Genomic DNA, 27380 nt, shown 5'->3' with positions numbered 1-27380 from the left:
AGCTGCTGGGATGGGCAATTCTCCTCTGGCTAGGGCTGCTCTAATTGCTCCCTCTGTGGGCACCAGCTGAGTTCTGCCTGGTCTTGCTTTCCGCTGTGACAGGGCAGCACTGAGGTCCAATGGAAAGTCCCACAAGCGGTGTGCTCTCTTTCCCCGCAAGTGCACAGCTTCCCTCTCCATGCCACACAGGATGGGGGAGGGAGGAGGGGATGGTGTCGGCAATTGAACACTGTCTTTCCTACCCTCTTCAGTGCCTCTTTCAGTGATATGAAGTTAAAAAATCAGATGATTTTTGCTTGTTATGAAGGTGCTCTTTTGTGTGGATAGTTGTTCAATTTGGTGTTCCTGCAGGGAGGACGATTGGTGTGGATGCGTCTATTTGACCATCTTACTCCGCCGCCTCCTCAACAAGACCTGGATCTTTTTTGATGAATGAGAGCAGTAAAGAAGACCGTCCATGAGGGTAGAAAACCTGTGTTTTCCTATTCAAAGTTAGATCCCCTGTACCTCTCTTTATATCTCATATGGCATAGACATGAAGATGTAGGAATAGATGAATGTATAAATGCCATATATATGATGCATATTAATCTTTGGGCCATGAGTTGAAAATAACCTGGCAGTTAAGGCTGCAGAGATTGCCTTGAATTGCATTGGTCTTAATACCTCTGTAATTCTGAGCAGTTAAGCTGTTTGATATATTATCAAAATTTGAGTTATTTTGTTCTCTTGCTATATTTTACTTTATTCTATTAGAGGTATTACTCTTTTTTCACATAGATTATCATTATCTAAGTTATGATCTAAGCTACACAGGTAACTTTGGCCACACCATTCAGAGTGAACAACTGTGATGAATATTGTTTAGTGTGTATCCCACCAGTGGTTCTATTATTTCCATATTGAAGATTCTGATTTTTAGTTCAGTTTTGCGAACATTTTCTGCATGCCTTCTTTGTGACAAGCCTGGTGCTAAATGCTGCGGGTGCAAAAATGAATGAACTACAGTCTGGCCTTCCTGTATCTCACTGCCCAGGAAGTTAATTTCAATGCTACGTGTCAAGTACAATTATAGGGGTATATACAGGATCATAGTTTTGCACTTTGGTGTTAATTTGACCATTCTGATATAGAGATAGTTTATAGGCTAAGAGTTTAAAGTATTTCTAATGGTTCATCACGCTTCACATTCTGGTATTATCACTTTTTAAGAACTTACAGGTGAATAATCGGATATTAGTATGTATGTGATCATCTCTTCTCCCCTGTTTAATTTGTTGGTTAAAGAGAGAACTCTTTAGCTTGTTTGCTATCTTATTTCCTTGTATTAGTTTGCACACTGGTAGTATACAATGTCACGAGTTGGCAGAATTTAGGATCCTTTGATAGTGATTTCTCTTCCCTTTTTTGGGAAGGGATACTAAAAAACAGTGATTCAGACTTCTGTATCTTTGTGCTTTACACTTTTTCTTTTGGATACTTGCTGGTGGGTACTGTTATCTTAGCCTGAGCCAGAAATAGTACCATCAAATCATATTGCTTTTCATTTCAAGTTGGCAGCATCTTTAATAGCAGTGCAGTAGTCTGGCCTGGTGTTTCCCTGGTATCTCTTTTTTTTTTTTTTTTTTTTTTTTTTTTTGCCATGAGTTAGGTTGGTGCCAGTACCCTTTCCTCTTGTATTTAAATCTGACCTTTATATATAAAGTTTAGAATATAAACTTTGTGAGCAGGGTTCTTCTTGTTCACAGAGGTATTCTAGCACTTAGAATAGTGTCTGGTATATAGCAGCTTGCAGTAAATACTGTTGAATGAATGGTATGTGAACAGTGCTACCCAGAAGACTGAATGAATCTTTAATGCACAGTTCTTGTTTCAGAGCAAGGAGTTGTATTCCTATTCTTTATGTGAAACTATGTGGATACTGTGTAGCTCAGCAGTAGCACCATGGGTCTGGGCTGCCTCAACCAGTATCATTTGCTGGGGTAACTAAGAAGATTCTTACTGCCCAGCTTACCCAGGAATAAGGAGAGTCATAAATAGAGTCTTCTAAGTCTGTGGGGCTGGGATTCAAGGTCTCTGTGACTTTAAACTAAAATCCTGATGGGGACAGTGCACCCTCACAGTCCTAGGGAGCCCTTTGAACTTATTCTGCAGAGGCAAAAGTTCTTCTTTTTGGTTGTGTCATCTTGCAAGGAGTTCCTGGAATTCCCAGGGCATCTGTCTACTGGATTGTGCCCCAGGAAAAGTTGACAGTTTATTGTCCTGTTTAAGAGCTGGGGATCTGCAACCAGACCACCTTGTTGAAATCCTGGCACTGTGATCTCCCTTATTTGTGATCTTCAGCAAATTACTTATTTTGTTTCTTAGTTATCTCATCTTTAAAATGAAAATAGTGTCTAATTTATAGTCTCATTTGTGGATTAATAGAGGCAAAGGGCTTAGAACATGCCTGGCACATAGTACCAATGTTCAGTAAATATTAACATGTACATATTTGATACAGATAAAATTCATACTTCTTTTACTCATTTTCATTCTAATATGCTTTCCTGAGGAAGATGAGAAGCCACAGAGGTGCAGCTGATGTTCTGGGAGTTTTACAGAGGCCTACCTGTGCCCATGGAAGTGTGTTGAGCATATGATAGCACATAACATCAGCTTCTAATGCTGTCATCCATCACCATGTGTCAGGTAGAAAGCAGGTGGAGAACTTTAGCTCTGGAAAGCCCTAATTATCCTCAAAGCAGGCTATGCTTAATTTGACAGTGTCATGATTTTTAATATTTGAAAATTCCAGAATTGCTGCTCTGGATGTAATCCTTTCTTTTTCTTCTCCCTCTTTCCTGCTCTTACTTATACAGTTAGGTGAATATGATGCTCCACTTCCCCCACAGATACTCAAATAGCTCTGACTGCTGAAATATTGGTATCTTACTGTCAGCACATAACTTGTTGCTGTGTTATTGACATTTTCACTGTTTTGAAATTTTTACTGTTATCTGGGTTTGAATCCCAGCTCTCCCAAGCTTCAGTTTTCTTTCATTTGTCAAATGAGATAAAAGTATCCACTTCATAGGGTTGTTATGAGGGTTAATGATGAATACAAAACACTTAACATAGTACGTGGCATGTAATATTAGTTGTAAAGTTAATGTATTCATTATCATCATTCTGTTTCAAATCAGCAATGAAATACAGACTACACTAATCCCATTTCTGCTTGGAATTGTGAGTCTAAATGCCATGTAGCAGTTCCCTGCTTGAAATACACTGTAAACCTTCCAATTGCAGTCAAGATTTTACTACCTTCTAGGGTATACAGGGATGGTGGAACATAGTAAACCTTGAGATTTGGCTTTCCCGTGTTTGTATTCTAGCCTTTCTACAAAAAGGTAGTAACCCTAGATTTCTATTACATGCACACCTTGATGCCTCCTCCAATAAAACTTCAGTAATCTAATTTGTACTCTGTCCTTGAGTTGAAGACAGAATTAGAAAGTGCATCCAGTGTGTTTGGTAGCTAAGTTCTGAAATGGCCTCTAAGATAATTACTTTCATAATAACCTATAAAATTTCATGTATAACCACAAGTTATCATCCCAGCTTTGTTACGTTTCTTTTTCTTTGACTTGCAAAACATCCCTCCATGAGAGATGGTATTATCTCCCATTTGCAAATTAGGAAAGCAAGGCTCAGAAAGGTCAAATAATTTGCCTAAGGTTGCACACCTGTCTAGTGACACACAGGGTTGATTCACTCTACAGCTTTTTCCTTTTTTGCTCAGAATTAGAAAGCTGAATCCCAAAATTAGGGTCAAAATTTTTCCTATAAAAACTTGTAAATGATACAACTAAAAAAAGAGAATGGATGCAGTGGCTCATGCCTGTAATCCCAACACTTTGGGAGACCAAGACAGGAGAATCACTTTGAGCCCAGGAGTTCGAGATCAGCCTAGGCAATATAGTGAAACCTTGTGTCTACAAAAAATTTAAAAATTAGCCAAAGTTGGTGCATGTCTGTAGTCCTAGCTGAGGCTGAGGTGGGAGGATCGTTTAAGCCCAGGAAGCATAGGTTGCAGTGAGCCAAGATAGCACCATTGCACTCCAGCCTGGGCGACAGAGCAAGACCCTATCTCCAAAAAAAAAAAAAAAAAAATAAGCAAAAGAAGGTAGACAGGCAGAAAGAAGGTATGAAGAAAGTTAAGTTAATAAATGTGGAACATAAAAGATAGGATGGAAACAAATTTATTCAAGTATCTCTGGTAAACAATTCATATAAGGCCTGTTTGATGGAGTATTTTTTTTTTTTTGTAGTGTGAAGTTTTAACTTGGAGACCCAGAATTCAAACTTGAAACTGTAGAAGAGAGGATGAAGAGAATATTAGCAGTTGAAAGGAAAATGTAGAAATAGAAACATTATGTATATTTAACAGAAAACAATGATCAACATGAAATGTTGAAGATATATGTTCTAAGTGATAGCTATATGTAGATATGGTTCAGAGAAGGCAAATTGCATGTATTGTTTGATACACGGAGAGAAGATTCAGGTAAGCATTCTGGAGTTAATATTTCCTGAGTTAGTTGACATAGTATTAAATTATATTTTTCTGTAAACGAGATGCCAATATGAGTCGTCTTTTATTTGGAGTGTTTAAGCAGGGGAAAAGGAGGCAGACACTGAATAGCAACTGCAACTATCTGAGCAAGTGTTGTAATACACTAAAAGTTCTGATACAGATTTCATTAGCTGCACGTTAGCATGTCATATCTATCACTCTGAGGCTTTACCTTTTACCTATGAAGCCCACATTGGTAATTAAACATTTTCATGTTTAAACTTCTACAAGAGGCTCAAGTTTTGTACCTTCAGTTTACGCGTGATCCAGTTGCATATACTTTTCAAGTTGTTTTTATTTTTTTGAGACAGGATCTTGCTCTGTTGCCCAGGCTGGAGTGTAGTGATGCTATCATGACTTACTGCAGCTTTTACCTCTTGGGCTCAAGCGATCCTCCTGCCTCAAGCCCCACAAGTAGCTGGGACCACAGGTGCACACCACCACGCCCAGCTAATTTCAGCTATATATACTTAGAACATGCTAAGTATACCCACTTGCTAACATTCACTTCAACAGGGTAAAACTGGCCCTACCTCCCCTCCTTACTAACCAACTCTCCTCTGACTTCTGGGTTTGTCAAGAAGGCTGCCATCCACATAGTTGGCCAGATACCAAAATGCTGAAGTCACTTTTTATTCATTGAGTGCTTCATCTTTATATCTAACCAAGTCTGGTAGTTCTTCCTTTGGAATATATAGCTTGTTCCTTTCCCATCACTGTCACTATTTTATTTATTTTTAATTTTTAATTGTTTTGCTATAGAGGGAAAGATAATTATTGCTTGTTTTTTTGGGAATTCTCATAGCTTCCTCAAGTAACTTTATAACACATTTTCCTGGGTAATGCTTTTTCATTTTTGCTTAATTTAGTTATGTAACCTTAGTTTGGCTGCTTAGGTATGTCACTGGAGAGCTACTTCCCTATTGGAGATGTAATTCTCAGTTCTGCTAAGAGAGGAGATCGTACACATTAGTTAGGGTTGTCATAAAAGGAGTTGAAAGCATCAGCTGTGAGCAAATCACTTTCCTTATGTGATTGTTTTGAATTTGAACAACAAATCCATCTGTTTTGCCTTAAACAAAAGGTAAGATGTGCATAAAGACAAATATTTGTAACCTAGTATGAGGGAATTCTTACCCTACAAAATTATTTTAGGAGCAGGCTAATTATATTTACACCTAGGCAGTGAACAGCCAGTCTTTGAAGAGAGTAAAGTATCAGGTAACTTACCATTTTAAAAGTCTATTGATGGATTTGTTTCCAGGAAGAGAGAATTTAATAACTTATTAATTTAAGGGAGCAAGTGTTTTTGTAGAAAAGATTATCAAGATTGTAATCAGGCCTTAATGGGAGTTTTCTTGTGAGAGATTCTAGAAGGAGGGAGATAATTTCTGTTGGAGACTTATTCTATGTTGAGAACACAGAAATAGTTCAGAAGTGTATTAGGAATGTTTACAAACTTATACGTCTGCACTTTATTGAGTTAACAAGTTTACTATGTCTTGTTTAAATAGATTTTTTTTTTACTATGGATACACAATAATTGTATTAGAGAAATTCTTTAAAGATCTTTGGTGAGAGGATCCCTCTCCATCTGCTGATTTCCAGTATATTTCTGTTGTGTAGTAGCCAGCTATGCATGACTGTCAATTGAGGTATTAACGAGGCATGAGTTTGCAGTTCAGTAGGAATCTAGACATAGTGGTGTCGTGGGAAGATCTTCTTGCACATGGTCTGATGTGATGGATAACCAACTGTGGGACATGGGGAAAGCAACACTTCTCTCTTGGCTTCATTTCTCACTCTGTAAAATAAGGGAGTTAAATCAAGGCCCTTCTATCTCTGAGTCTCTCATTTTATGATGCCACCAGAATCCCTTCTGAGCTCCTCATGAAGAGGTGTTTGTTCCATAGCCCTTTCTATTTTTTTAATGCAGTCCTTGTTCTGATGGGTATGAACAAAGCCAGCCTAAATGGATTGGGGTTTTGGAAAATTTTTTCCCTCTGATTGTAATTAAGTGACCTAAACAGATATTGAATTTATGACCATAATGTTAATAGCTTTGTGCTACCAACAGCATTTTAACAACAAAGCAGGATTGTTTCCAAACTAGAAATCTATGAAAATTCAAATATTGATGAAGAAGGCTTCACATACTTTGTTGTACATAGAGCCATTCTTAGGAATACTTGGGATGCTCATTCTAATAATAACTTCAGTATAAGAGGTAATTAAGAACAAAGACATTGGAGGCGTACTTCGTGGGTCCACATCTGGTTCTGCAACTTGCTTGTTTTGTGACTTTGGACAAGTTATAATACCTACTAAATAGATTTTCTGAGGAATAAATGCTGAGGAATATATTCCTGGCCTTTAGTTCTATATATGTTTAGCTGCTGTTATTAATTATTTTTACATTCCAGGAGTCAGTGCCTCCTATAATAGCTCCATTAATCCTCATAGCAGTTCTATGAAAATAGTACCATTTTTATCTTCATGAAGAGACGAAGACTCAGAGAGGCTAAATAATTGGCCCAAGGTCACATATAAAATGGGTGCTAGATTCAAACCAGGTTTATCTGACTCATTCTAAAACTAAGGCTCCTTCCTTCTTCATATATTCTGCCCTAAGCATGGTCCTTTGGAAATTCCCAATGCTTTTAACTAGTCAGGAGGCAGTTGGTGTTAGAAGACCAAAGGCTCAGGTGGCATCTAAATAAGTGCCTCTCTTAATCACCATGATAAAATGATGTGACTCTTCTTTAGAAATGTGCCTTTCAGACTTCAGGGTTTTCCATGAATTATTTTCATACAGTGTGACTTCCTTTTGTTCATCTTCTCTGCAGATTGAGGCAGCCTTGGCACCCAGTCCCCAGATAGCCTTCCTTATAGGGGTCTCGAAGTATCTGGGCTGGGTTAGAAAAAAGACTCCTTTGCCATATCTATGTCCTTACCTTTACAGAGTGAAAATTGTAATACACAAAATAATTACAATGAAGTTAACAACCAGAGCATCCCCATAGCTCCCTTTATTCCTCAGATATTTGTTTAATATTTAGCTATCTGACATTTTAATCTGAAGTTTGGTCCTTTTATTTTTTGCTGGAAAATTTTAGAATGGCTTTAGAGTGAAACAGCATCATTGAAAATAAAACAATTGTCTTCTATTTGCAAAACTTTAAAGAACATTTGTTTTAACCACCTCTAAACATTTTTGTTTTGTTTTTTATTTTTACTTGAAAATTCTATAGCAGAAATAATGACAGACAAATAGGCTTCTGTCATTACTCAACTTCCTTATGATGGTGTTATACTTATTGCTGAGTAATAGTAATTAGTGTGGTTTTGGGTGTAGGCATTTTACATTTTGAATCTGAGAAGATTTTAGGTTCACCTGAGTTGCTGAATCAACTCAGTATTTCAGGAAAGTATCTTATACATGGGTTCCAAGTAGTATAAATATTAAAAAGTTAATTGCATATGCTCTGAGAAATTCTGTAAGCACTCTTTCACCTTTATTTCATAGATGAACAGTGAAGACAGTGGTGAGGGGATTTTATCAAGTTTATTTGTAAAAAGGCCTGGGCTGGCAGACTTTTTCCTTAGAGCCAGATGATCTGTCACAACTACTCAACTGTTGACATACAGCAAAAGCAGCCATAAGCAACTTGTAACCAAATGGGTGTGACTATTAAAATAAAACTTTATTTAGGCAGGCTTAGTCTGAGAATCCTAAATGGATCTGGTGGAGGGCCAAGGGAAGGCAGTTGGCACACATGTTGATGAAAACAGTTGTTTAAACTTCTGGCAAATTTGAATACTAACTTAAAAAGGTGTCAATAAGGTTTATATAAAAATGAAAGCAGTGGTTTGAAATACCACAACAGTAAGGACCACTCTCACAAGGAGTTCTGTTTCCAAAATGGCATAATTTTGCTCTTAATGTATGCTTAATAGAGTAATGCATAATGTATTATTAATTTGGAAACTATTACTTGTCCAGCTACATGTGCAGATTTTCAGTTTTCTTTGTACATTTAAAAATGATAAATGGAAAGTGCAATACCATTCAGGGGAGGAACTACTCAATACTTAAGTAGTTATTTGCCAAATCACATTTTGGGTTGTTTCTGTTTTTAACTGACATACTGACTGAAGTTTGCCAAAACCTGATTGCATTTGGAAGGAAAATGGCATTGTTGCTATTTTCTCTGCATGAGAATATCTAAAACAGGTGGCTGGCAGCAGGGAAGGAGTAAAGGTAAAGGACAAAAATATAATAGTTTGTGAGCTTGTTTTTTTTTTTTGCACTAAATTTCAGATCTAGCTAGGTTATGTTTTGTTTTACTCTGATCTTCAGAATACCTAATTTATTTTCTACATTCCATACCCTCCCTCAGGTAAATAAGGGAAACCCCACTGTATTACAATTAGTATTGAATTCACTTACATTTTTATTATTGAGGTATAATTGTAAATCATTTTGTTAGAGTTTAATCTTTTGATTCAAGTTGACTGGTGTTTTTATTTGCAATCTATATTTTACAGTGTTTAATCCTAAGTATGTTTCCATGAACGGGTAGTTTGATTTTTAGAGCTAGAGAGAGTAACTGAGTTAAAGTGCACCAGGTAGCTTAGAAAACATTTTAAAATAGTGACTTTATAATTGCTACATCTTAGAGCTTAAGAAATAGAAAAGTTTAGATTGACCAAAGTCATTCTAAAAAGCAAAGCAAGACCCACATGAGTATTTTATATTAGATCACATTTCTGTGCTTTTATTAGAACCATTAATTTGGTAGAATTCCTAAATCTAGTAAGTAATATTATAAAAATGATGTTGTATATGGGGGTGATGCCAGTTTGAGGCTATAACTGAGTATAGCCTTGGGTAGCGTTTTTGCTCAAAGCTTGCTTTTTGTTTTTCACACCGATAGCATAAGGATGTCATGCAGTCCCCAGTCTGAATCCCTAGTGGGAAGATTTTGAACAGAGTTCTGACAAGTAGGGTTATCACATTTTTATGTATCCTTTAACAGTTATCCTACCTAAAAAGATCAAAAAGGAACGTGGAGTCAGATGTTGCAAGTTTTAACTCTGATGTTTCTTCTCAAGGCAGATTTCCTATTGCAGTGTGGATATTCTTCTCTATTTAAAATAATGATATAAACTGGCTGGGCATGGTAGCTCATGTCTGTAATCCCAGCACTTTGGGAGGCTGAGAGGTGTGGATCACCTGAGGTCAGGAGTTTGAGACCAGCCTAACCAATATGGTGAAACCCCATCTCTACTAAAAATACAAAAATTAAACCTGGACGTGGTGGCGGGAGCCTGTAATCCCAGCTACTCGGGAGGCTGAGAAAGGAGACTTGCTTGAACCCGGGCAACGGAGGTTGCAGTGAGTTGAGCTCATACCACTTACGCTCCAGCCTGGGCAATAGAGCAAGACTTCGTGTCAAAAAAAAAAAAAAAAAAAAAGGAGATACAAACTGATTTCATATTTCAACATTTTGATGATTCAGAAGCTGATGTATTAATACATTTTCAAAGTAGATCAATAAACATTTTAAGAAAAGTTATTTTTTCCTTTGTTTTAGTAGTAGTCTGAATATTCATAAAAGTTCATTTTTGGGGTCAGATTGATTCATTGAGCCCGGTATGGAAAAACTTCCTTGTGTATTTAATTTCATTTGGATTCCCCTTTAAGAAGCTAATAGCCATATTCCAAATGTGCATAAAACTGTCAAGTTAATAGGAAGAATACCGAGGATTCTTAGACAAAATAGAAGAAAAAGAAGAGAAAGAAAAATGACTCTGCTCTAGGAGGAACACAGAACTGGAAACTAATGACCATTTTAGTACCTATAATGTGGCAAGCATTCCCTAGTTTTGGAATTGACAGTACCCTCTAAGAAGTTTGATAGAGGTGTGCATGAAGGAGGGAGCCTAATGCAGATTTGGTGTGGGTTAGAGAGGGGTGTATTGAAGGGCCCAAGAGGAAGGATGTCAGGAAATATTTCTAAGAGAAGAACTCGAGCCTCACATAGCCACACAGACAAGGCGAAAGAGTATCAGACAAGGTGAAAGAATGAGCCAAGGTATGGAAGTATTAGACAACGTTAAAGACTGGGGATCTATAGACATTCAGTAGAAATGATTGGTGAATGAGGAAATGGAAAGTAGCATGGTGAAGGATGAGATTGGAAAGGACTGTTGGGTGTCAAATATTAGGGGCCTTGTGTTACCAGGCTGTCAAGTCAGAACTTTGCCCTGATGGTGGCAGGGAATCCCTGAAGGAAGCTCTTTGATTTGTTAGCTGTTTCTATTAACCACTCTTGCCCCACTAAAGTTAAAGATAGAGATAGAGATAGATAGAGAGGAGGGAGGGAGGGTATGAGTGAGAGTGAGAGAGAAAGAGAGAGACATGGATGGAGTCTAGCTTGAAACTTTTCTGTGAATTTTAATTTTACAAGGATTTTTGGTTTTTGATATATTGTATCCAAAGGCAGAGAAAATATGAAGGTTATCTTAGAACCCTGACATTAGAATTTTAAAAACTTAACTCTGGTTTTATTCCAAATTTTGGCAAAGCATCTCATTTCTTTTAGTCCCACTTCCAGTTCAGATACAATTAGGTTCTTAGATTCTTGTTTTTGCCCTATCCCTTTTTATCAAGGTGGCTTTGGGGGATACTATGGTGTGCTTTGGGGTTGGGGTAGAGGTGAAAGTGCCTGGAGAAGGCAAGCAGGCAAGCTAATTGCCATCAAAGCAGCAATAATGGCTAAATGAGTACTTCTGAAATTGCTCCTTCTAGAATGTTTTTGGAGAAAATGTTGGGAGAGTAGAGTGTTGTAATTGAAAAGGATGATTTTCTGGTGGTTGAATTTCAGCACTCTGTAACCTGGATGGATAAAAATGACTCTATGCCTTACAAGTGAACCTTTCTGTTTACTCAATGAATTGAATCTGTAATGGAAAAGATAAAGTTTGTTGGTAATGTCAGATTCAGTTCTTCTTTACTGTTCTTAGAGCCATTGCCTTATTCTTTTAAAGAAAAAATTATTTTTTTTAAGAGACAGGGTCTCACTATGTTGCCCAAACTGAAGTGCAGTGGCTATTCACAGGCACCATCATAGTGCACTACAGCCATTAACTCCTGGCCTCAAGCAGTGCTTTCGCCTCAGTCTCCCACGTAACTTGAACTACAAGTACACATCACTGCATCTGGCCATTGCTGTATTCTTTAAGGATCAATTATGTCATGTTGAGTTGGTTTCCTTGCTTCCATTGTCTCCCAACTGTAGTCCTAGATTAGCTTTTTAGGTTATTAATCTTAAAACATGATTTTTAGCATGTTACTCCATTATTTAAAACTCCATAGTAGCATTTTGCTGTTTGGGTTCCACAGAGCCTCTGGGATATTCTCTGTGAAGAGGGAGAGCAGGGTTTGGGAAGTGCTGGGGAGCCAAGGCTGACCTAATAAGGCAAATCATATTATTAGCTCATATTGTCTAAATAAAACTTATTTTACCTGGCAGTTATGCTTCACTCTGAAATTACCTGACAAATAAGTCCCTCCTAAAAGATTGTGTATTAAATGTAGATAGTTTTGGGTTGATGAAAGTGGCATACCAGGGTTTCCAGCAACACTTACTCTGCCATTTGGGAGAGAGGGGGATGCTTGTCAAGCAAATAGTTGTTGCATAATAACTGATTTTTGGCCAGTCATGGTGGCTCACTTCTGTAGTCCCTGCAATTTGGGAGGCTGAGGTGGATGGATCACTTGAGCCCAGGAGTTTGAAACCAGCCTGGGCAACACAGTGAAACCCCATCTCTACACTAAGTACAAAAATTAACTGGGCATAGTGTTGCATGCCTGTGGTCCCAGCTACTTGGGAGGCTGAGGTGGGAGGATCACTTGAGCCTGGGAGGTCGAGGCTGCAGTGAGCTGTGATCGTGCCATTGCATTCTAGGCTGGGTAGCAGAGTAAGAACCTGTCTCAAAAAATTCAAAAAACTGATTTTCTCATATCTCTTTGACAGTGGACCACGTACATAATAAGCAGAAAGAGGAATAAAAAGGGATCTTGCCTTTAAAGATCAGTTATGTCCAGCCTTCCAAAACTGCACTGATCAGTACCACCAGAGTACTCAGAGAGTTGCTGTTTTTGCTGAAAGGGTGATTCTAATTATCTGGCAGATTTTCAGGTACGCCAGTGGCATGACCTAACCATCGGCCTGTATTATTACATAACCAGCGTGTATTATTGATTACCAGGGCAGGTCATGCTATTGACCGATTCTAGCTCCCAGGCCAGTATTGATTTGCTTTTGGTGGAAGAAAAGGAATGAAAATATTCTTGAAAATCAATATGTCAAAGAATATAACAAAGACCAATGGAGCTAAAAAAACAAGATAAAACAAAGCTGAGTTTATTTATTTGCCAGGTAAGGAAATATAGTAAGGATTTTACATTTGCCAGGTAAAGAAATATAGTAAAGAAATTCAGTGAGTAATTGTTGAGGAAGAAAAGTCTGGATTTTAGTACTAGAAAAGAGCAGTGGTTAGGGTAGGTTTGGAGTAGTTATCCAAATTAAGTATTGAAAACCAGCATTTTGGATAGGATGGCATGAATTCATAGATCTGTATATGATTGGTTGAAATAAGTCCCATTCTAGTGAAACAGCATTTAGTCTTGGTATCTTGTAGGCAAGTCCTGCTGTAAACGGAAAAGTTTCCTGTTACAAGAGTTTCTGGCCCGTTTTCTAAAGCTAATTAGATCTCTTATGAAGGTCCTGGACCTAACCAATCCTCTTAAGGGTCCCTATTGGTGTATTCTATGTTGGATGGGCCCTTGGGTTGGCAGTGAACAGTTCTTACTCTAGATATACACTTCTAGAATATTTGCAGCAAACCCCTGAATCTCTATATATTGGATTTCGGGAACCCTAGCCTAGTATGTCCAGCTAGAAAATGGCTTCCCTCCATGTATACCGTTCTTCCCAGAGGGTATAGAATTGTAAGTATGAGGGTGTTTGATAAGTGTTATTTTTGTTACATTGTATTCAACTTAGGATTTGTATATATTTCTAGATAGTTTCTTTAAAGACTTAAAGTCTCATTTTATTCTTCAATGAGCTCTTCAAAAGTGACTCACATTCTCTTACGACTTTTTAGTTCAATAGAGAATGCTAATTCAGGTTCCTCTTAGAAGGACTGCTAGATAATTTTGCTCCTTATGGGAAGGTCTTGCTGTGGACATCCCCAGATTTTTGAGTTTCTATTTGAAATATATGGTATTCAACTACTTTTATTTCATTGGAGAAAATGTATAACTTCAGATTTTCAGCACTATTTGTAGGTTGCCTTTTTCTTCTTTCTTGTTACCTAAGTGAACACATTTATTACCAATATAACTTGTAATCCCACTGGAGAGGATTGCAGTGCTTTTAGGCAATCTCATTTCAGCAGATATAGCTCTTTAAAAACAAACCAGTTAAAGACAGTCTCAGCTGAACTACAGTTGTTTCTTGTAGACCAAGGAAATATAGGGGTGGCGAGCAAAATCCTCGGACTTACACAGTCCATCTCAACAAACATGTTTGTGCTTGGCTAAAGACATGGTGATTACTTCTTTTCTATAAATGATATATGAATGAATCCAACACAATTCTTGGTAGCAGAGATTGAGGGCCTTTTTGTAGTTTGACTCAGATTTCGTCTTCAGGATTATTTAATAACACTTCAAAGGTATTGTGATTTATTTGCTTTCCAGTTGAGTTTTTGACATGTCTATTTTCTGAAGCCAAAGAGAATTGACAATGTGATTTTTAAAAGGATTTATTTCAGCATATAAGTATGCAATGGTATTGACCTTCCAAAAACCACTAAGACATAAAATGTTATAAAGTTTTAGTATATAGTAAAGAGTGTGTTAGTATGTCAGCAAAGGGAAATATTTTATTTTCCAATACCTTTAAAATGGAACAAATAACAAACTCTAATTAAATATAATTTGTAATATGTAAATAATACCGTGAAGTAGCAAGATTCCTGGCAGTTAGACTATTGAATTCCGTACTCTGTAAGAAGCACGAATTTTTGACGATCATTTCATTTTGCTTTTGCTTATGACTTCCACTGCCCATGTATGTCAAAGAGAGAGAGATGATCTTTCAATAGTTTACTAAAGAAATGAGATGCTTCGTAAAATTGTCATGTGGTTGGCCTTTTTACAGGTGAAATAAGAATTACAAAATGCTTGCTTGCTTTATTTTTATGGGATTATGTATATATATATATATATATAATATTGTTATACAGAGTCAGTGCAGTCCTTAGAAACTTACAGTTTTAGGAAATGTGATAGTCAGGCATAGTTTTCTTTTTAAACTCATGTGTAAAATAATAGCATATTCAAATGATAGGCTAGTTGTTTTGTATGAAGAGGAGAGATCACTCTTGGTCTCAACTTGCCCAGTCTCATAGGCGTTGTTGCACTGGAAGAAAATATACCACATGTGGTTTTTACATGTCCAAGCTCAGTAAGTTTTATTAGGTGAAGTAAAGGAGTTGGGCTCTAAGGTGATTTTTGAATCAGCAGGTGATACAGTAGATGAGATTCAGGAAGTTATTCCAGGCACTAACCAGGTAAGAGTTGTAAATACAGTTATGCATGGAATGACAAAGTTTTGGTCAACGAGGACCACATAAGAGTATAACATTGTTGGCCTGGCATGGTGGCTCACGCCTGTAATCCCAGCACTTTGGGAGGCCAAAGTGGGCGGATCACCTGAGGTCAAGAGCTTGAGACTAGCCTGGCCAACATGGTAAAACCCCATCTCTACTAAAAATACAAAAATTAGCCGGATGTGATGGTGCACACCTGTAGTCCCAGCTACTTGGAAGGCTGAGGCAGGAGAATCGCTTGAACCTGGGAGGTGGAGGTTGCAGTGAGCTGGAGGTTGCAGTGAGCTGAGATCGTGCCATTGTACTCCAGCCTGGGCAACAGAGTGAGACTCCATCTCAAAAAAAAAAAAAAGAGTATATATAACATTGTATTTTTCCCATACCTTGTCTATGTTTATCTGTAATTGTGTTTTACTTTATTTTTTGAGACAGAGTCTCACTCTGTTCCCCAGGCTGGAATGCAGTGGCTCAATCACTGCCCACTGCAGACTCCACCTTTCTGGCTTAAGCAATCCTCCCACCTCAGCCTCCTGAGCAGCTGGGACCACAGGCATGTGCTACCATGCCCAGCTAATTTTTAAAACATTTTTGTAGAGATGGGGTCTCCTTATGTTGCCTAGGTTGGTCTCAAACAGGGCTCAAGTGATCCTCTCACCTTGGTCTCCCAAAGTGTTGGGATTACAGGCATGAGCCACTGCCCCCAGCCCCTTATCTGTGTTTAGATACACCAATACCATTGTTATTGCCTACAGTATTCAATATAGTAACATGCTGTACAGGTTTGTAGTCTAGGAGCCATAGGCTCTCTTAAATAGCCTCTGGGTATAGTAGGCTATACTATATAGGTTTGTGTAAATACAGTCTACGATGTTTGCACAATGATCACCTACTGATGAATTTCTCAGAATGTATCCCTGTTGGTAAGAGATGTGTAACTGTAATACAGCTTTTGTTAAAGGCATGATTTCTTTCAAATAAAAAAGTAGAAAATAGCTTACATAAAAAAGCCTTAAAAAATTCTTTTCAAATGGAACAATCTTTGTGAAGGATGCTTGTGTTTTTAAAATGAGAATTATATTTGCACTATAAAATATCCTTATTGTGTCAGAGTTTCTGTATATCATAAACTACTCTTTAAATTTTTCATTATGATGATTAAATAATAAATAATATTCAATTTAGAAAACCAGAAAAGTGTATCTTCGAAATATGCTGTGGGATGTAGAGGGATTGAAAATGTTTCCAGAAAGAGGCTGTTCAGGACAAGGAAGGATATTATTTTGGATGTTAGACCTTCTCTTAGGAGAGAGGTGATATTTCCTTAGCCACAATATGAGGAGGAGAGTTCTGCTAGGGTAGGTATATTCTGAAGGACTGTTTTTAGTAAAGAACCTCAAGAGCAGGTACTTCCCCCCCACCCCCTTAACCAACTTCCTGGGAAATATAGAGCAGGTAGTATTTATGTGAGAAGGAACTTGGAGAAAGATAAACTCTTCCCTTAATTTTCCTTGTTTTCCCCATTTTCACTTATTAATCTTCATTTAGCCAAGTCATTAACTTGTTTGTTAAATGTTTGTTGTGTGCCTTTGTTAGGTATATGGTAATTTTTTTTATTCATGCTCATTTATTCAGAAGAGTTTCAAGTTGCCTGATTTTTTTAAGTGAACTGTACATTTTCTTTTTTGTTATGTGTGTTCAAAAAAGTTGGAGAAAGGTTTTTTAAAATAAATTGTGATAATCAAACTCATTTATTTTTATTATTACATTTATTTATTTATTTATTTATTTATTTATTTATTTATTTATTTTTGAGACGGAGTCTCGCTCTGTCTCCCAGGCTGGAGTGCAGTGGCGCGATCTCGGCTCACTGCAGGCTCCGCCTCCCGGGTTCCCGCCATTCTCCTGCCTCAGCCTCCCGAGTAGCTGGGACTACAGGCACCCGCCACCGCGTCCGGCTAATTTGTTTTTGTTTTTTTTAGTAGAGACAGGGTTTCACCGTGTTAGCCAGGATGGTCTCGATCTCCTGACTTCGTGATCCACCCGCCTCGGCCTCCCAAAGTGCTGGGATTACAGGCGTGAGCCACCGCGCCTGGCCTATTATTACATTTATTTTTGACTTATATCGGTCCTGATTGAATCCTTTTACTTGTGGATCTAAGTGCTTAATTTTTGATCATTTGGATCAAAGTGAGTTTAATGAAAATAGAATTTTGTGATAGCTCTTAAGCCAACTGGCTACATCCTTGATTTCCCAAATCAGGGTCAGAAGTGTAATTACTAAATTATATTGTTTTCCTTAGATATTCAGATAGTCACATTCATTGGAATAGTAGATAGAAGCCTTAACTTCATCCATCTAGTACAGCTTATACACCATGGAACTTCAGTGCTACCTTGGCTTACTTTAACTACATTGAGGCCATCTGGTCAGTTAGTGGGGTGTAGTGGCCAGCACAGAGGCTGTTGGGTAGTCAACTATGAGTTTGAATCTTTGCCACTTACTAGCTGACTGTGGCGAGATTATTTTTAATACTAACTCATCATCAGTAAGGTAGGGATGATAGTATCTGCCAAGTTAGATGGTTGTGAAAATTAACAATTTAGGTAAAGCACCTTGCATTCTGCCTGGGATAGTATATAGGTGTTCAATAAATGATAGATACTGTAACTATTACTTACATTTTCTTTGTATATATTTTCTGCTTAAATTCATGTTAGTGCTAATAACCAAAATAATTTACCTGATTGTTTTAATTTAAGATTAGTGGGACTTTAAAAGCTTTTCTTAAAGTTGAAATACATCATGGTCTTTAATTTTTCTCCTCTTTTCTAAGTTTTTACTTTAATACAAATACCAAAAAATCAGAATGGTTTTTCTTAATTTGTCCTTAGTAAACACATTATGCTTCCTGTTTGAGATTTTGTCACCTTGTAGAATTTTTCATTAATACAGTATATAGCACAGCAGGGTTTTGTTTTTGTTTTAAATTAAAGATTGATCTTAATGAGATAGTGTTGAAATTAGATAAGCTTCTCTTGCTGCTATTTATCCCTTCCATCTTTATTTTTAACATTTTAATCATATGGCTCTCTGAAACTGCCTACAGCATGAATAAAAGACAATTTTTCTACCAGAAAATTTTAAAGTATTAAAAAGTGATATTTAAAGTATTTACCAGAAAGGAAGGAGCCTAAAAAGATTGTTATATCACCATTTATAAGTTCAAAATTCTTATTATTGAAGCTACATGTTCATCCTTCCTTCAGCTACACACTTGCTCCCCTATGGATGTTTTAAAGACTCTGTCACCACCTTAGCAATATTCTGAGTAACTTGATTTTAGTGTGATATATATTTTATTGATGACTTTCAAAATAATTATACATTATTGAACATTTAATTATTAAATTATAAAGATAAACTCTGATTTTACGTTCTAGGTACATTTCTGTGATTAGAAAATTCTCTCATGGTATTCTGTTTATAATTAATATACCTAGTAAAACTAATTAGAAGTATCTGAAGCCCCTAGCAAAATCTGTAATTAGACATGCCATTTATAATTAACTGACTCTTCTCATTCTTGCCTTTTCCTCTCCATTTGAATTAATCACTGTGCTCCTCCTTTAGTGATACTTGTGTTCCTATCCAAGACACTGATTAGAGTTTAATGATCACTGTTTGTGATATGTTATGGAGACTTACTTTATAGAAACTTTGCTTTTAAACTTTATTTAAAAACATTAAAAATACTTGAATTATATTCTCTATAAAGTATCACATTGAAGATTTTTTTGCACATTATCAAGATAAGCATTTATTTTATCAAATGCTGAAGGCAAACACAGAGAATAGACAGACTTGACCATTTTCTTTTCTAGTACTTTAGTATCTGGATTTTTCTTGACAGTCTGATCACTGATCATTGTCTGCATAGTTTTGACAGCATGCCCATTGACCCTGGGCCATTGATAGACCTGGTATGTCTTCATTTATTATTTTGCCAAAGAATTAGAAGCCTGATAAGCTAGGCAGTGTCCTGTGCTTTGGCTATGAAGAGGCAGGAGTGATATTTAAAGTATTTACCAGTAAGTACAAAATAGGGACCAACCAGTTAAGATGGCTGTAGCACTGGATCACGATCTTGAAGAACCCCTTCATCCTTTATGCTGTGTCAGGCTTTCTTGTTTTACCTGCTGGGTTGTAGTGGTGGTGGGGAGACTGGGCCATCAGTAGGCACCTTAGGACTGGTGGAGTTTGAGGCAGTGACACGTTACCAGACTATGTTACGGAAGTATTTCCGTACTTAAGTATGACCCTTCAGGCTCTGTTGGTGTGTACCAGTTCAATATTAGTTCTGCCAAGAGGTGTTCAGTCATTGCCTGTAGAGAGCTTACTGTTCTCTAACCATAAGAGACAGTTATGATATAGTTTGAGAGGTACTTATGTAAGTATATAAACGTGCATAGGGGAAGATTGCATGCATCTTTTTTGGGAAAACCAGGGAAGACTTCCATAATGAGTAGAAACTTGCCAGACAGGTTTAAGGAGGAGATTCTAAACAAGCAAAGGGGAAAATAACAATTTCAAAGGCATAGGGGCATAAGAGAGCATAGTGGATTCAGAGATCAACAGTTAGGAGCAGGAGAGGATGAAGTTTTTCTCTGACACTTGCTTTTTAAATTGGATAAATACATATTAAGATCACATTTATAGTTTTGAAATTGCTCCATTTTTGATAGATGTATTAGTTCATTCTTGCACTGCTATAAAGAAATACCTGGACTGGGTAATTTATAAAGAAAAGAGGTTTAATTGGTTCATGGTTCCTCGGGTTGTATAGGAAGCTGGCCATCTGCTAGGGTTCTGGTGAGGCTTCAGGAAACTTATAATCATGGCGGAAGGCCAAGGGAAGCAGGCATAAAGAGAGAGAGAGAGAGAGGAGGAAGGTGCTACACACTTTTAAACAACCAGATCTTGTGAGAACTCTTATCATGAGAACAGTACTAGGGGGATGGTGCTAAACCATTAGAAACTGCCCCCATGATCCAATCACCTCCCACCAGGCCCCACCTCCAACATTGGGGATTACAGTCTGACATGAGATTTGAGCGGGGACACATATCCGAACCATATCAGTTGAGAACTGCTAGCCTGTCTGATACTTAGGTTCTTCAGCCATATCTAAACTATTTTAGATACAGGGAAAGGTAGAATAGGAATTTGTTATAGTTCAGGGCTATACTAAGCATTCATAGAGTAAGAGTGTGATTAAACCCTCGCTTCTGATTCATTGAGAGGCTTCTAATGAGCAAACACAGATTCAAACAGATTGAGGATGGTAGTTTTTTTAATGACATAAAACTGCTGCCCATGAGGCTTTTTGGCTGACATCATGAAACTAATTTTGCTTAATGGCTATGGAGGGCTACAAATTCAAATGTGCAGAAAATGCAGTAAATTGCTGGCCTGTCAGATTCTTGTTGCCTGTCATCTTTTATCTGAATGGCAGCTTTTGTATCCAGATTGTCAGGAGCAAGTATGTGGACCCCTTTAAGGTTATATTTGTACATGCTTGAATAATTCAATTCAGAGCCTACTAAATATAGCAAATCGACAACAGTGGAGCAATGCATCTTCTTATACTTGTGTAATTAGGGAACACATCTATTGGATATCTCTTCTCGTATCAGAGAACTCTTGAAATAAGTCAGGCTTTCTAAGTTCTGCTTTTATTGCCAGAGTTGTTGCCTTATACCTTTGAAATATAGTGAAGTCATGGAGAGCAGAGAAAACATTTTCTCTATGACTGTTCAACTCAATGAGTGATTTTAAAGTACCCATTATGTGCTAGGAATTACGTGAAATACAAAGATGAATAAGTGACTGTTTTCTGTTTTGTTTTTAGTTTTATTTATTTTTTTGGGACAGAGTCTTCCTCTGTCTCCCGGGTTGGAGCGCAGTGGCGCGATCTCAGGTCACTGCAACCTCCACCTCCTTCAAGCAATTCTCCTGTCTCAGCCTCCCGAGTAGCTGCAATTACAGGTGTGTGCCACTGCACCTAGCTAATTTTTGTATTTTTAGTAGAGACGGCATTTCACCATGTTGGCCAGACTGGTCTTGAACTCTGGACCTCGAGTGATCCTCCCGCCTTGGCCTCCCAAAGTGCTAGGATTGCAGGCGTGAGCCACTGCGCCCAGCTTCTGTTAATCAAATTATATGGTTTCCTTCCTCAAGCTGTATTTAGAAAAAAATGTCATGATGATGATGGTGGTGGTGGTGGTGGTGGTGGTGGTGGTATGTGTGTAGTGTTACAACAAAGGCTACAATAAAGATCTGAGTTACATGTGAATAGATTATTTGCTTCAAAGATGGTTTTGAAATAATTGTTTTAAGTTTTTTGATGGCTTCACTTTTACAACACTTTCAATTAATGTTCCTTATCTTCTCTCTACTTTCTATTATACTGCATAATTAAAGGAAGGAATATTTTCAGTGAAATATATATTATGTTCCAATATTATTAATTCAACAGGTATTTAGGTAGCATCTACTAGGCCCTAGGTTTGGAGTGAACCAGAATGTGAAAGGTTGCTATCCATAGAATAAAATTACTTAGTAAAAAGGTAACCAAAATAATGAAGTTTTTACTTTCAGCCCTTTTGGTTTGATTAATGATATGAAAATAACATAATTCAGCCTTAAAGTCACAGAATTTATATTTGATTTTGTAGATGTGTTGGATTTTTCTTTCTTTCTTTCTTTTTTTTTTTTTTTTTGAGACGGAGTCTTGCTCTGTTGCCAGGCTGGAGTGCAGTGGCGCAATCTCAGCTCACTGCAACCTCCGCCTCCTGGGTTCAAGCGATTCTCCTACCTCAGCCTCCTGAGTAGCTGGGACTACAGGCGTGGGCCACCACACGTGATTAATTTTTTGTATTTTAGTAGAGTTGGGATTTCACCATTTTGGCCAGGATGGTCTCGAACTCCTGACCTCATTATCCGCCTGCTTCAGCCTCCCAAAGTGTTGAGATTACAGGCATGAGTCACCGTGCCTGGCTCGATGTGTTGGATTTTTATGTTCACAAAAGTTATCTGAAGACATATGCAGAAATAGACTGTCTCCATTGAATTTTGATTAACTGATCAGCACATTAAATCTGTGGGTTTTGGTAACATTCAAAATTATGGGTAGGCAAGGGACTTTAGAAATTGAGGGCATTCTCTGTGTCATCACTTGGTTAGAGGCAAATCTAGGGAAACAAAAAGATGAGAATCACTACTATAAGAAATTATCCCTTTTATACCTTTGCTCATTTCCACTGCCTGGAACGTCCCTTTTTCTTCTCTGCTCTTTCTCATATCTTACTCAAAGACTTTCCCAAGGTGGTACCTAAACATTTTCCCCTGAGGTGACATTTTGCTTCTTGGAATTTTATAACATTTTATTTATTACAACTTTCAAGATTTTTAAAACTTTTTTGTGTGTACCTGAGCTCTGTTTCCTATTGGATTATAAGCTTTCCAAAGGTATCATGGATGTCAAATTGGGCCATGAAGGATGGAAGGAATTTGGATAGGTGGAGAAAGGAAGTCATGTCCATAGGAGAGAAACCACATAGACCAAGGTCCATAGGACAAAACAGATGCTTTTTCAGGAATGCTAGTAGCTTAATTTGCTTGGTTTAGAGAATATCTTAGTAGAGTAGAGGGAGATGAAGTGGGGAGATGAAGTGGGGAGAATAGGAAATGATCTTTGATGCTGAATTAGTAAAATATGAAGGTCATCAGCACTTCACTTTTAGTTGATTAGTTGTGTGTAGGAAAGGCTCAGTGGAGAGTTGGAGGAGAGTGTACTTACTGTGTTGTACCTCTTTTTTTAATTCCCAGATTACTTCACTAAAGGAAAAGGGAGCCAGTGTTGTGGTGAGATGTAAAGCACTTTTGACCCAGGATACAGTAGATCCAGAAGATGGAAACCTATGAGCCATAGTCAGCGCCTTTGCAATATCATGGGAAGGAAAGATGGTCTTCATGCCTCCTTCCAGTTCTAATATACTATGATGCCATGGCACAGTTCAAATCTTTGGATCAGAGCCACCACTAAGACCTGTTTCATCCATTTATGAATTATTTAGTTCAGAAGTCAGCAGACCTCTGTAAAGATCCCCTTTAAACTTTTAAACTTTGTGGCAATATACTACCTCTGTTGCATATTCTTGTTTGTTTATGGCCCTTTAAATACGTAAAAACCATTCTTAGCTCATAAATCAGACAAAAACAGGCCCTGGGCTGGATTTGGCTCTTAGGCTATAGTTTGATCACTGATTTAGTTGATTAGGGTACTTGTTCCTGCACATATGGTTTCTAGAATTTAGAAAACCAAGACCAACTTGGTGATGGTGTTTTCCCATCTGTCTGTATTTTCAGTGACGACTCATAGGTTGTATTTTCTAAGGGTCGAGAAGCTAATACTTAACAAGAACTCTCCATTTGCATTCCTGTAGTGTTGGCAATTTTGTGTTTTGGGTTTGTGCTGTCTTTCTAAGTGCTATGAAAACTTCCTGGTGTCTGAGTCTATCCATCTTTACTATCTGTACCGTGATTCACATACAAATATTTTCTGTGTTGTATCCTTAATGTCTGAGACTATTTTACTCATCTTTACTAGCTGTAACCTGATTAGCACACATTATTTTAGTGCTTCTTAATGGTTATCAGTATAAATAGTGCATTTTATTTGTATTTTATTGTAAATTATGAAGTTTTATACTTTTTGAATACAACATGTAAGTGCAAATGTCAAACTTGAGAAGGCAACATATTGTATAGTTATAATTAAACATAGTGATTTAATTTCAGTGATCACTGGTTTAAAATCAGTTCTGGATTAGATTCTTCTATATATGTTCTTTCTCTTTTGCTTCATGTGTATTCCCTATAATGGAGTAGTTATCTCAGATTTTTCTGTCATGAGAAGTTAGTGCATATAGTCCCCTGCATATAGTCGTAATCCCTTGTCCCCAGTATCTTGAATTGCTACACTCACTGCTGAACATGAAACAAGTATTTTCTCACTATATTTTTACTTGTTGATTACAATTTGTTAATGATATGTATCCAGTGTTTCTATTTGATTAATCAAACACTTCTTGCTCTTTGCTTAATGCTTTGTCTCCATTGTCTTACTTATTGCTTTCTATGTTTCATTTATATTTTTCTACAATTTCTTAGAGTTTTAAACCCTCAAGCAGTTTTTATAGTGGTAAAACTTTTAACTCTTTTTTTTTTTTGAGATGGCATCTTGCTCTGTCGCCCAGGCTGGAGTACAGTGGCGTGATCTCAGCTCACTATAACCTCCGCCTCCTGGGTTCAAGCAATTCCCCCGCCTCAGCCTCCCTAGTAGCTAGGATTACAGGCACCTGCCATCACGCCCTGCTAATTGTTTTTGTATTTTTGTAGAGACGGGGTTTCATAATGTTGGCCAGGCTGGTCTGGAACTCCTGACCTCAGGTGATCCGCCCGCCTTGGCCTCGTAAATTGCTGGGATTACAGGCATGAGCCACCATGCCTGGCCCAAAACTTTTAATTTTTTAAGTAAATAAATGCTCAAAACTCATAACATTTTTAAATGATTAGTTATCAATACATATTCTTATAAACACATTCACACATTATAATACATTCTAAATATATGTTATATATTACATATTAAACACTGTAGAAAATTTAAGCTTATTTTCAGGAAGATTAGGTAAACAGATAATCATGAATCCAAACAGTTTTTATAGTCACAACTTACCTGTCATTTGCCAGCGTAAAGATTATAAACAGATGTGGTTTACAGATGATAGTTGATGCTTCCACATTCACTGGCAATGGTGATCACTTGAAAGCCCCATCTAGCTGAACCTTGGAGAAACATACCCAAGCTTGGAGGTATCCCTCTACCACTTAGAATGCTGTTTGTACATGGAGGCATGTAATGAATACTGAATGAATAAATTATTAAAACCTCAAGCTTATTCTAGGCTTAAGCTCTGGTTCTCAATAAAATACCACCAAATAAACATAAAAATACGTACTTACTTAGAGCATTTTGAAAGTACATAACTTAAGGAAAAATGAAAACTACCTATGTAATATTTATGCAAAGCAAAGCACTATTAACATTGTATGTATTTGTAGCCTCTTCTATGCAAATTTATGTATTACACATTTCAAATTACCCAACAGATGAGCATTTTCCTATCATTAAGCATTTTTATTTTACTTTTAAAATCCACTTTAGTAAAATTATTTATGTGCAGTACAGTTTGAGGGGTTTTGACTAATGTGTATATCCTGTTGACAACCGCCATAATCAAGATATAGAACATTTTAATCACTCTTAAAAGCTTCTCTTAAGCCCCTTTGCAGTCAATTCTTTCATACAACCTTTGGTTCCTGCAATAACTTACCTACTTTCTGTCAGTGGAGATTAGTTAGTTTTACCTGTTCTTGAATCGTATACATGAAAAAATTGAGTAGACAGTACAGAGAGTTCCTATGTATGCCCTTTACACAGTTTCTTCTGTTAGTCATTAAGCATCTTTGATAAGCAGTTTTAATGATTGCTTAATATTCTAGCTTATTTAGCAAATCATTTGTACTTTTAGTTTGCTTCTAGCTCTTTTTTGAGATGGAGTCTCGCCCGGTCGCCAGGCTGGAGTACAGTGGCATGATCTCGGCTCACTGCAATCTCTGCCTCCCGGGTTGAAGCGATTTCCCTGCCTCAGCCTCCTGAGTAGATGGGATTACAGGTGCACACCACCACACCCAGCTAATTTTTTGTATTTTAGTAGAGACGGGGTTTCACCATGTTGGCCAGGATGGTCTCCATCTCCTGACCTCATGATCCACCTGCCTCGGCCTCCCAAAGTGCTGGGATTCCAGAAAGATTTTACCAATTGCTGGGCGTATGGATCATGCCTGTAATCCCAGCACTTTGGGAGGCTGAGGCATGTGGATTGCTTGAGCCCAGTAGTTCAAGACCAGTCTTCGTGGACAACATGGCAAAACCCCATCTCTACAAAAAATACAAAAATTAGCAGGGCTTGGTGGTGGGCACCTGTGTAGTCCCAGCTACTCAGGATGCTGAGGTAGAAGGATCACTCGAGCCTGGGAGGTCTAGGCTGCAGTGAGCTGTGATCACGCCACTGTACTCCAGCCTAGGTGACAGAGTGAGATCCTGTCTCAGAAAAACCCGAAAAACAAAAACAAATTTACCAATTTAAATTCCTATGAACAGTGTACAAAAATGCCTGTTATATTACATTATTATAATATTATATATTATTATATTACGTTATCACTTGTAGCTGTCAGTATAGCCTAGATTGTGCTGTAGTAACAAACAGTCCTAAAAATCTCAGTTGCATAATACAACAAAGTTTATTTCTTGCTCATGTTACATGTCTAATACATGTCAGCAGGGTTGTTTTTTTCTCTTCAGAGACATTTAGTGAACTCCATAATGACTGCAGTAGCTGGGAGGTCTGTAAGTTGTGTAGTTGGTCTTAAAGCTTATACTTAGAAATGTGTAACATCACGTCTGTGTACATTTCAGTGGCTAAAGCAAGTCATGTTTCTACACCTAAGTTGAAAGAGGGCAGTGAGGTGCAATCTTACCATGAGTCTGGTAAGGAGAAGAACTGGAAGGGTGCCAATGACTATAATCTTATTTTTAAAACAATTATAATTTCATTGATCAAAGATGATATCTCATTTTAATTTCATTTTCTTTGCTAATGTAGAGAACATTTTTTCCATTTTTCATACTTAGTAGACATTGGTTTTATTTAATTTACTTATTTGCTTAGGTTTTATAAACATGTGCTATTGATTTACTTTTACATTTCCAGATTTTTAAATTCTGTATTTTCTATGAGGATGGGCAATCATAATATAGGGAGTGTAAACTGTAGAAAATACTTTCTTTTGAAGAATTGAGTTGATGAAGGAGATTGATTTTTTTCTCCTGTTTATGTAGTACATGTTTTGGTATCTTTTTTTTTTTTTTTTTTTTTTATGAGA

The 27380-nt window shown here is 37.3% G+C and overlaps 1 protein-coding gene across 33 annotated transcripts in view; it reads left to right on the top strand.

The window, feature by feature from the left end:
• Positions 1–27380, top strand: part of PEAK1 (pseudopodium enriched atypical kinase 1) — a 320261-nt gene that overhangs the window by 27799 nt on the left and 265082 nt on the right. For 2 of the 33 annotated variants that reach the window (XM_047433062.1, XM_047433071.1), the window contains exon 1: positions 1641–4549. The exons of the other annotated variants lie outside the window; for them this stretch is intronic. The gene's annotated coding sequence lies outside the window, so the exon portion shown is untranslated. Of the gene's footprint in view, positions 1–1640; positions 4550–27380 lie in introns of those variants that run through there. 33 annotated transcript variants of the gene reach the window in all.

The sequence above is a fragment of the Homo sapiens genome, chromosome 15 (assembly GCF_000001405.40).
Source record: "Homo sapiens chromosome 15, GRCh38.p14 Primary Assembly".
NCBI lineage: Eukaryota > Metazoa > Chordata > Mammalia > Primates > Hominidae > Homo > Homo sapiens.
This window is presented reverse-complemented; position numbering and strand designations above follow the sequence as displayed.